Source organism: Homo sapiens, chromosome 7 (assembly GCF_000001405.40).
Source record: "Homo sapiens chromosome 7, GRCh38.p14 Primary Assembly".
NCBI classification, from domain to species: Eukaryota; Metazoa; Chordata; class Mammalia; order Primates; family Hominidae; genus Homo; species Homo sapiens.
In genome coordinates, this window is record NC_000007.14 from 55,764,502 (window position 1) to 55,776,041 (window position 11,540).

General features: G+C 46.4%; 1 pseudogene, besides 1 other annotated feature; it reads left to right on the forward strand.

The window, feature by feature from the left end:
* On the forward strand, nt 296-9,182 carry PSPHP1 (phosphoserine phosphatase pseudogene 1; annotated as a pseudogene).
* Nucleotides 10,457-10,956: an enhancer, noted in NCBI's record as "H3K4me1 hESC enhancer chr7:55842651-55843150 (GRCh37/hg19 assembly coordinates)". NCBI's record gives its function as "activates a minimal SCP1, AML or CMV promoter by ChIP-STARR-seq in primed H9 embryonic stem cells {active_cell/tissue: H9 hESC(primed)}" and the evidence as "EXISTENCE:reporter gene assay evidence [ECO:0000049][PMID:30033119]".

Below are 11,540 nucleotides of genomic sequence, written 5' to 3' on the forward strand. Positions count from 1 at the left end.
ACTCAGGAGGCTGAGGCAGGAGAAGCGCTTGAACCCGGGAGGTAGAGGTTGCAGTGAGCCAAGATTGCAGCCTTGCACTCCAGCCTGGGTGACAAGAGTGAAACTCTGTCTCAAAAAATAAAGAGAAAAACATATAGAAAACATTAACACCCCAGGCAGTATACCTTGTCAAACATACCTCAGGCAAATGCATTCAGGAGAAGAAAATACATCTTATTTCCCTCTTCATGTTTCGTTTTTTTTTTTTGTTTTCTTTTGTATTACTCAGTGTTGGGTATTTTGTATTTTATTTTGCAGGGAGCTGGTAAGTCGCCTACAGGAGCGAAATGTTCAGGTTTTCCTAATATCTGGTGGCTTTAGGAGTATTATAGAGCATGTTGCTTCAAAGCTCAATATCCCAGCAACCAATGTATTTGCCAGTAGGCTGAAATTCTACCTTAATGGTAAGATGTTAACGGTAACATGTTCCCTTTCTTAGCAGTTCCATTATTCAGTATTCTGGGTAATGTCTTTTGGAATGCAACTTGAACAGTCACATCAGAGTTAAATATTGAGATGAATGGTTCTCTTTTTTTTTTTTTTTTTTTTTTTTGAGACGGAGTCTCGCTCTGTCGCCCAGGCTGGAGTGCAGTGGCGCGATCTCGGCTCACTGCAAGCTCCGCCTCCCGGGTTCACGCCATTCTCCTGCCTCAGCCTCCCGAGTAGCTGGGACTACAGGCGCCCGCTACCATGCCCGGCTAATTTTTTGTATTTTTAGTAGAGACGGGGTTTCACCGTGTTAGCCAGGATGGTCTCGATCTCCTGACCTCGTGATCCGCCCGCCTCGGCCTCCCAAAGTGCTGGGATTACAGGCGTGAGCCACCGCGCCCGGCCGAGATGAATGGTTCTCTTAATTGATGTCTTTTGCCCTTTGGTACCCTTTGCTCAGCAAAACAGACTTAGATCATCACCTGTCTTAGCTTTATTATCTATAACATCACCTGTCTGTACATAAATGTCTGCATTTCGTGAAACATTAATTCCTACATAGCCCCTATGACTTACTTTGCTATGTGTTGTATTTCAATTTTATGGGAGCTTCTATGCATTTGAAGCAATTTAGACTCAAGAAGGAGACTTTTGGCTGGGCACGGTGGCTCACGCCTGTAATCCCAGCACTTTGGGAGCCTAAGGCAGGAGGATCACTTGAGGTCAGGAGTTCGAGACCACCCTGGCCAAAGTGGTGAAGCCCCAACTCTGCTAAAAAAAAAAAAAAAAAAAAAATAGGAAAATTAGCTGGGCATGGTGGCACATGCCTGTAGTCCCAGCTACTTGGGAGGCTGAGGCAGGAGAATCACTTGAAGCTGGGAGGCGGAGGTTGCAGTGCGCCGAGATCGCGCCACTGCACTTAACAGCCTGGGTGACAGAGCGATACTCTGTCTTTAAAAAAAAAAGACAGAGACTTTAGAAGGGAGACTTTTGTTAACAGATTACTGAACTACAGCTGCCCTTGGGGAAGCCTCCTATCCCCTCTGTGGTCCATAGCGGTGCCACAGCTGTTATATTATCTCAGATCTCCAGTTATATCAAGGAGTGACTGAGAGTGATATTCTTTTTTTTTTTTTTTTTTTTTGAGACAGGGTCTCACTCTGTTGCTCCTGCTGGAGTGCAGTGGCTTGATCTCGGCTCACTGCAACCTCTGCCGCCTGGGTTCAAGTGATTCTCCTGCCTCAGCCTCCCAAGTAGCTGCGATTACAGGTGCCCATCACCACGCCTGGCTAATTTTTGTACAGTGCCCAACCGTACTTTTGTTTTAGACAGCTGGTTTGTCCTATAATCCCAGCACTTTGGGAGGCTGAGGTAGGAAGATCGCTTGAGCACAGGAGTTTGAGACCAGCCTGGGCAATATAGTAAGACCCCATCTCTACAAAATAAATAAATAAAATAAAATAAAAACAGCTGATTTAGAACTATATAAGATTTAAAACAGGAGTTAAACAAAAACAACTCTCATTACAAGATAAAAACGAAATAATAAAAACAAATTCAATCTTGTTATGTCAACTGACTTTGTGCAAACCCAAGAAAAGTTATGAATAAGGAACTAAAAACCTTTTAAAACTTTTAACAATGCCTTATCCCTGTAGCATGGGCACCACCTTTTAGCCTAGGTGTGTGCTCAATAAGAGTTGATTTCATTTCCCCAAATAATACCATCAACAACTCATAACCGAGATTTTAACATCTTTTTATACTTTATATACTAGTTCCTCATATGTTACCTCATTTAATCCTCATAACAGCCCTGTGAAGTCAAATATTATGTTTGGTTTTGGTTTTTTTAGAAAGAGTCTCACTCTGTCACCCAGGCCGGAGTTCAGTTGTGCGATCGTAGCTTATCATAGCCCTGAACTTCTGGGCTCAAACGATCCTCCCACCTCAGCCTCCTGGGTAGCTGGGATTACAGGTGTGTGCCACTGCATCCCACACCACCACAGCATTTTATTTCTCTGAACTAACGTCATTTTCTGAGACTAGCAGAGGTTTTATTTACTTTTTTATTTTATTTTATTTTTGAGACGGAGTCTCGCTCTGTCACCCAGGCTGGAGTGCAGTGGCGTGATCTTGGCTCACTGCACCCTCCGCTTCCCGGGTTCAAGCGATTCTTCTGCCTCTGCCTCTCAAGTAGCTAGGACTACAAGTGCACACCACGACGCCTGGCTAATTTTTGTATTTTTAGTAGAGACGGGGTTTCACCATATTGGCCAGGCTGGTCTCGAACTCCTGACCTTGTGATCTGCCCGCCGTGGCCTCCCAAAGTGCTGGGATTACAGGCATGAGCCACCACGCCCAGCCCTGGTTTTATTTATTTTTTGAGACGGAGTCTCGCTCTGTCACCCAGGCTGGAGTGCAGTGGCGCGGTCTCAGCTCACTGCAGCCTCGACCTCCCGGACTCAAGCGATCTTCCCATCTCAGCCTCCTGAGTAGCTGGGACTGCTGGCACATGCCACCACACCTATCTAATTTTGTTTATTTTTTGTAGAGATGAGGTCTCACTATGTTGCCCAGGCTAATTTTGAACTCCTGGCTCAAGTGATCCTCCTACCTTTGCCTGCCAGAGTGCTGGGATTATAGGTGTGAGCCAACATGCCCAGCTGGGGATTTTATTTCTAAGCATTTTAAAATCAATGCAGGAAACAAATGCTATATAGCAGGTGTCGTAATATCAAATGTGTCCATTTCACGTAGGGCTTAGCCTTTATCATGTTATTCTAACATAAGAAAAACTACGCCAAAAATATAGTGTAGCCAGGTGCAGTGGCTCACACCTGTAATCCCAGCACTTTGAGAGGCCAAGGCGGGCGGATCACCTGAGGCCAGGAGTTTGAGACCTGCCTGGGCAACATGGTGAAACCTCATATCTACAAAAAATACAAAAAAATTAGCTGGAAGTGGTGATGGGTGCCTATCATTGCAGCTACTTAGGAGGCTGAGGCATGAGAATCAGTCAAACCCAGGAGGTGGAGGTTGCAGTGAGTCAAGATCACGTCACTGTATTCCAGCCTGGGTAACAGAACAAGACTGCATCTCAAAACATATATGAAGTTTTTACCACCTAGTTTCCTGAGATCTAAAAATAGGGATTGTCTAAAAAATAAAAATAAAAAAATGATAGTCTTTGTGAATGATGAATGAAAAAGAGTTAAAAGGAACCTTTTTGGCTGGATGCGAAGGTGACTATTGCCTGTAATCCCAGCACTTTGGGAGGCAGAGACAGGAGGATCACCTGTGGTCAGGAGTTTGAGACCAGCCTGGTCAAAAAGGTTTGAGAACCTATGGTCAGGAGTTTGAGACCAAACTGGAGTTTGAGATCAGCCCCGTCTCTACTGAAAATACAAAAATTATCCAGGTGTGGTAGCAGGTGCCTGTAATCCCAGATACTTGGGAGGCTGAGGCAGGAGAATCACTTGAACCCAGGAGGCAGGAGGTTGCAGTGAGCCGAGATCACGCCACTGCACTCCAGCCTGGGCATGATGGAGCAAGACTCCATCTCAAAAAAGAAAAAGGTTCTAGCCAGGCTGGTCTCAAACTCCCAACCTCAGGTAATCTGCCTGCCTTGGCCTCCCAAAGTGCTGGGGTTACAGGCATGAGCCACCGTGCCCAGCTTTTGAATCTTTTCTTTTTTTGACAGAGTCTCACTCTGTCACCCAGGCTGGAGTGCAATGGTGCAATCTCAGCTCACTGCAACCTCCGCCTCCCAGGTTCAAGCAATTCTCTTGCCTCAGCCTCCCAAGTAGCTGGGATTACAGGTGCCCGCCACCACGCCCAGCTAATTTTTTGTATTTTTAGTAGAGATGGGGTTTTGCCATGTTGGCCAGGCTGGTCTCGAACTCCTGACCTCAGGTGATCCACCCACCTCAGCCTCCCAAAGTGCTAGGATTACAGGCATGAGCCACCACACTGGCTGCTTTTGAATTGTTAGCTTAGATAATTTATAACCAGTGTTGGGGTTGGCTAAGCAATGAACATTGGCCTAGCTTAATGAGAAATACATAAAAGTAAAATGAAGAGTTTTCTCAGAGCTCCCAATCTCATTTTCAAGAAATGACAAAATCAGCCAGGAGCGGTGGCTCACACCTGTGATCCCAGCACTTTCGGAGGCCGAGGCGGGAGGATTGCTTAAGCACAGAGGTTCAAGACCAGCTGAGCAACGTAGCAAAACTCTGTCTCTAAAAAATTATTCAGGGATTGTGGTGTGCACCTGTCATCCTGGCTACTCAGGAGGCTGAGGCAGGATGATCACTTGAGCCCAGAAGTTCAAGGCTGCAGTGAGCCATGACTGTGCCACTGCACTCCAGCCTGGGTGACAGGGTGAGACCCTGTCTCATAAAACCAAAAAGGAATGACAAGATTGGTTGGGTGCAGTGGGACATACCTGTAATCCCAGCACTTCGGAAGCTGAGGCAGGAGGAGTTTGAGAGCAGGCTGGCAACATAGCAAGACCCTACAAAAAATTTAAAAAGTAGCCAGGTGAGGTGGGGCACACCTGTAGTCTCAGCTACTCGAGAGGCTGAGGCACGAGAATCACTTGAACCCAGGAGGCAGAGGTTGCAGTGAGCTGAGATTGTGCCACTGCACTCCAGCCTGGGTGACAGAGCGAGACTGTCTTTTTCTTTCTTTCTTTTTTTTTTTTTTTTTTTTTTGTCTCGCTCTGATGGAGTCCCGCTCTGTCACCCAGACTGGAGTGCAGTGGGGCAATCTGTGTTCACTGCAAGCTCTGCCTCCTGGGTTCACGCCATTCTCCTGCCTCAGCCTCCCGAGTAGCTGGGACTACAGATGCCCACCACCACGCCCGGCTAATTTTTTGTATTTTTAGTAGAGACGGGGTTTCACCGTGTTAGTCAGGATGGTCTCAATCTCTTGACCTCGTGATCCACCCGCCTTGGCCTCCCAAAGTGCTGGGATTACATGCGTGAGCCACCGCACCTGGCCAAGACTGTCTTAAAAAAAAAAAAAAGTGAAGGGAAAAGACAAGTAACAGAATTTTGTACTTTCAAATGAGTATATGCAGTATTGTGTCTATATCCTGCCAGAAAAAAGGAAATACTATTTTAAAAAATCATGCACAAAAGGAGGGTATCAGTTAGTACAACTAATGAAATAATAATAACTATAAACAATTTTTATTTATTTATTTTTTTCTTGAGACAGGGTCTTACTCTGTCACCCAGGCTAGAGGGCAGTGGCACAATCACAGCTCACTGCAACCTCGAACTCCCAGGCTCAAGTGATCCTTCTGCCTCAGCGTCCTGAGTAGCTAGGACTATAGGCATGAGCCACTACCCCCAGATAGTTTTTAATTTTTTTTATAGAGATGGGGTCTCACTATATTGCCCATGCTGGTCTCAAACTCTGGCCTCAAGCCATCCTCCCTCCTCAGCCTCCCAACGTGCTGGGATTAGAGGAATAAGCTACTGCGCATGGCCTATAAACAATTTTAACTATGAAAAAGTAGAGTGTTTCAATCAATCACATGAATCAATCAATCAAAAAAAAAAAAAAGGTGTAGATTGGGGGCAGTGGCTCACACCTGTAATCCCAGCACTTTGGGAGGCCGAGGTGGGCAGATCACCTGAGCTCAGGAGTTCAGACCAGTCTAGTCAACATAGCGAAACCCCATCTCTACAAAAAACTACAAGAATTAGCTGGGTACGGTGGCATATGCCTGTAGTCCCAGCTACTTGGGAGGCTGAGGTGGGAGGATGGCTTGAGACTAGGAGGTGGAGGTTGCAGTGAGCCGAGATTGCACCACTGCACTCCAGCCTGGGTGACAGAGCCAGACCCTGTCTCAAAAAAAAAAAAAAAAAAACGTAGAGCACTACCAACAGTTCTCCCTCATCCCAGAATAGAAAATCCCCCACCATTTCTTATGCACACACTGCGACTCTTGGCCTCCCAGGCAGGGCGGTGCCTGTTCTGGACCAGATCCCAGGTCCAAGGGGATTTCCTCTACACCGCAGACTTCTCTTTGATCTTCCCTTCTTTGAAATTACAGGGCAGGGATGCGATTTCCATCCAGGTAGTTTTGTTTGTTTGTTTGTTTGTTTGTTTGTTTGTTTGATGCGGTTTCGCTCTGTTGCCCAGGCTGGAGTGCAGTGACGCGATCTATACTCACTGCAACCTCCACCTCCCAGGTTCAAGCGATTCTCCTGCCTCAGCCTCCCGAGTAGCTGGGACTACAAGTGCATGCCACTGCACTCGGCTAATTTTTTTTGTATTTTTAGTAGAGACAGGGTTTCACCACGTTAGCCAGGATGGTCTCGATCTCCTAACCTCGTGATCTGCCCGCCTCGGCCTCCCAAAGTGCTGGAATTACAGGCATCAGCCACCATGCCCAGCCTAATTTTTGTATTTTTAGTAGATACAGGGTTTCACCATGTTGCCCAGGCTAGTCTTGAACTCCTGCGCTCAGGTGATTTGCCCACCTCGGCCTCCCAAAGTACTGGGATTACAGGCATGAGCCAACATGCCTGGCCTGCCATATAGTTTATTTCTTATTTATTTTATTTTTTGAGACAGAGTCTCACTCTCTCACCCAGGCTGGAGTGCAGTGGCATAATCACTGTTCACTGCAACCTCCGCCTCCCGGTACAAGCAGTTCTGCTGCCTCAGCCTCCTGAGTAGCTGGGATTACAGGCACCTGCCACCACGCCCAGCTATTTTTTGTATTTTTAGTAGAGACAGGGTTTCACCATGTTGGCCAGGCTGGTCTCGATCTCTTGACCTCAGATGATCCTCCCGCCTCAGCCTCCCAAAGTACTGGGAATACAGGTGTGAGCCACCATGCTCAGCTCCTGCCATCTAGTTTAGAACTCAAACATTTACCTACTGATGTGATTTTTATTTTTGTAGGCATTTGTCTTGGTTATAAGAGGGCAGGGACCACATCTTACTCTCCAGAAGCCCTGACATTGTCCAGCTGAATGGGTCCCCAGCAGTGGTGCATGTACTGATGCAGGAGAGTGCAGTGAGGGATAGGAGGAAGCCAGGAGGCGAAGACGGGAGGATGTAAGGAGGAAGGTGCTGTGTACTCAGCAAAGGCACCCTGGGGGAGGCCAGGCTTACCTCTCTTTGCAGGAATAGTTTATGTTTGAAACACCTGGCTGGGTGCGGTGGCTCACACCTGTAATCCCAGCACTTTGGGAGCCCGAGGTGGGCGAATCACCTGAGGTCAGGAGTTTGAGACCAGCCTGGCCAACATGGTGAAACCCCATCTCTACTAAAAATACAAAAATTGGCCGGGCGCGGTGGCTCACGCCTGTAATCCCAGCACTTTGGGAGGCCGAGGCGGGTGGATCATGAGGTCAGGAGATCGAGACCATCCTGGCTAACAAGGTGAAACCCCATCTCTACTAAAAATACAAAAAATTAGCCGGGCGCGGTGGCGGGCGCCTGTAGTCCCAGCTACTGGGGAGGCTGAGGCAGGAGAATGGCGTGAACCCGGGAAGCGGAGCTTGCAGTGAGCCGAGATTGCGCCACTGCAGTCCGCAGTCCGGCCTGGGCGACAGAGCGAGACTCCGTCTCAAAAAAATAAAAAAAATAAAAATAAAAATAAAAAAAATAAAAATACAAAAATTAGCCAGGTGTGGTGGCAGGCACCTGTAATCCCAGCTACTCGGGAGGCTGAGGCAGGAGAATCATTTGAACCCAGGAGGCGGAGGTTGCAGTGGGCAGAGATCACGCCATTGCACTGCAGCCTGGGCAACAGAGTGAGACTCCGTCTCAAAAAAAAAAAAAAAAAAAGTTTGAAACACTTACTGCTCTCTATTGCTCCTGCAACCTTTGTTTTCTGATTTTCTAAAAATCATTTCTCCTCCGGGTGCTGTGGCTCATACCTATAATCCCAGCACCTTGGGAGGCCGAAGTGGGCAAATCACCAGAGGTCAGGAGTTCAAGACCAGCCTGGCCCAATATAGTGAAACCCCATCTCTACTAAAAACACAAAAATTAGCCAGGCGTGGTGGCAGGTGCCTGTAATCCCAGCTACTTGGGAGGCTGAGGCAGGAGAACCACTTGAACCCGGGAGGCGGAGGTTGCAGAGAGCAGAGATCACACCACTGCGCTCCAGCCTGGGCAACAGAGCCTCCAAAAAAATAAATAAAAATAAAAATCATTTATCTCTCTTTTCTTACTTCTTAGGATGCTTTCATTGGATTTGGAGGAAATGTGATCAGGCAACAAGTCAAGGATAACGCCAAATGGTATATCACTGATTTTGTAGAGCTGCTGGGAGAACCGGAAGAATAACATCCATTGTCATACAGCTCCAAACAACTTCAGATGAATTTTTACAAGTTACACAGATTGATACTGTTTGCTTACAATTGCCTATTACAACTTGCTATAGAAAGTTGGTACAGATGATCTGCACTGTCAAGTAAACTACAGTTAGGAATCCTCAAAGATTGGTTTGTTTGTTTTTAACTGTAGTTCCAGTATTATATGATCACTATCGATTTCCTGGAGAGTTTTGTAATCTGAATTCTTTATGTATATTCCTAGCTATATTTCATACAAAGTGTTTTAAGAGTGGAGAGTCAATTAAACACCTTTACTCTTAGGAATATAGATTCGGCAGCCTTCAGTGAATATTGGTTTTTTTCCCTTTGGTATGTCAATAAAAGTTTATCCATGTGTCAGAACAGATTTGTGGAATTTGCAGTTCTGCCTCTTGGATATTGGAATATCCAATATTTCAGGTACTGTGTTGAAGCATAAACATCCCCCAGGCAAGAAACAGGCTTAAGACTTTGCTTAGTGCTGGGCACAATGTCCTCACCCCATGAGCCCACTCCCACTTCCTAAAGCCCTGGGACCTGGAAAGTCCTTTTTTTACCTCTTGGGATTTGTCATATATGAAATGTTACAGAGATTGGTTTTTTTTTTTCGCCTCCAATATAACAATAGAGTCTTAAACAAAAGTACTGATTGAAAAATGGATATTCGGGCTCACGCCTGTAATCTCAGCACTCTGGGAGGACAAGGTAAGAGGATCAACTTGAGGCCTGGAGTTTGAGACCAGCCTGGGCAACACAGCAAGACCCTGTCTCTACAAAAAATAAAAACATTAGCTGGATGTGGTGGCACCCACCTGTAGTCCCAGCTACTTGGTGGGCTGAGATGGGAGGATCCCTTGAACTCAGGAGTTCAAGGCTGCAGTGAGCTGTGACTCCACCATTGTAATCCAGCCTGGGTGACAGAGTGAGACCCTGTCTCTTAAAAAGAAAAAAGGATATTTGAAAATCACATAAAGTAAAAGAAATAAAAACAAGTTTAATCACAAAGGCCAGCATTTTCCCCTAAATGAATTAAATATTAATAACTCCTAACAGCCTATATAAACACATTTCTTTTTTATAAATGACGTGGAAATACTTGAAAGCCAGGTTTGTGTTTGTTTTGAGCAGAGCCAAGCAAGGGAAATTTCAGAACACGCTTTGAACGTGTGAGATTCTATACCCTCCCTGGAGGTATGGGGGAGGGGAAAGCCACGGGGTTAGGAAGTGGATACTGTTGGATAATTCAGTAGAAAAAGCCATAAGGTTTTTAATATTGAGAATTAGTTGAAAAACTTACTTAACCAAATTTGGCTATATAATTAAATAAATAATTATTCAGCCACATAAGCAAATCAAATTAATCAAATTTCCTTCCAAATCAGTTTCTGAAGGAGAGACATGAAATAGGTTTGGCACCATTTAAATGAGATTCCAAACAATGAGGCCGTTGTTCCCAACTGTGAATGCCTCCTGGTCGCTCTCCTAGAAACCGTTTTGTGGTGTTTGCACTTTTCAGTAGTGCCAAGCTCTGGGCAGGACCAGGCATGCCAGGACCTTGAAAAGTGCTGCAAACGGCATCAGCCTCTATGCTGCCCGGTGTGCATGGCAGGAGCAGGCCATTGGTGGGCGGGTGGGAGGACCGATCCCCCACTGGTTTTCACTGTCTGACCGTCACAGCTGCTACTGCCCCACTAGTTCTTGCCCGCGGCACAGATAGAGCCCATTTCTCAAGATGGGAATTGCAATAGAGAGCTTAATTCGTGCAGAACCGGCCAAACAGGAGGCCGGAGCTTTATTCTTACATCAATCTCCCCAAAAATTCGGAGGCTAGACTTCTTCAAGGATACTTTGGCAGGCCAGGGGATTCGCTTCTGGGTGGAGCCACAGAATTGGCCATGGGGTGGGGTCGGGTGGGGGCGGGGGCGGGGTTAGTTAGGTCCGGGTGGAGCCACTGATGGTCAGAAACACAAAAACCTGAGCCAGGCACGGTGGCTCACGCCTGTAATCCCAGCATTTGGGAGGCCAAGATGGGCAGATCACTTGAAGTCAGGAGTTGGAGACCCACCTGGCCAACATGATGAAACCCCATCTCTACTAAAAATACAAAATGTGGTGGGGCACGCCTGTCATCCCAGCTACTCGGGTGGCTGAGGCAGGAGAATTGCTTGAATCCAGGAGGCAGAGGTTGCAGTGAGCAGAGATTGTGCCACTGCACTCCAGCCTGGGTGACAGAGTGAAACTGCCTCAAAACAAAACAAAAAAAGAAAAGAAAAAAGAAATGCAAAAACCTGAAAAGACATCTCAAAAGGCCAATCTTAGGTTCTACAGTCGTGATGTAACCTGCAGGAGTAACGGGGATTTACAAATCTTGTGCCTGCCCTCTAGAATAATAACTAGAAACGGTGTTTATGTGTACACCTTGGCGGAATTTAGGCTTCTCTCATCCTCCTAGCCTGGTGGTCTCTCACTAGCTTTATGAAGGTGGTTGAGTTTTGGGGAAGGGCTATTATTATTTTATTTATTTATTTATTTATTTATTTATTTATTTATTGAGATGGAGTCTGGCTCTGTCACCCAGGCTGGAGTGCAGTGGCACGATCTTGGCTCACTGCAACCGCCACTTCCCGGGTTCAAGTGATTCTCCTGCCTCAGCCTCCTGAGTAGCTAGGATTACAGGCGCACGCCACCACGCCCAGCTATTTCTTTTTTTTTTTTTTTTTT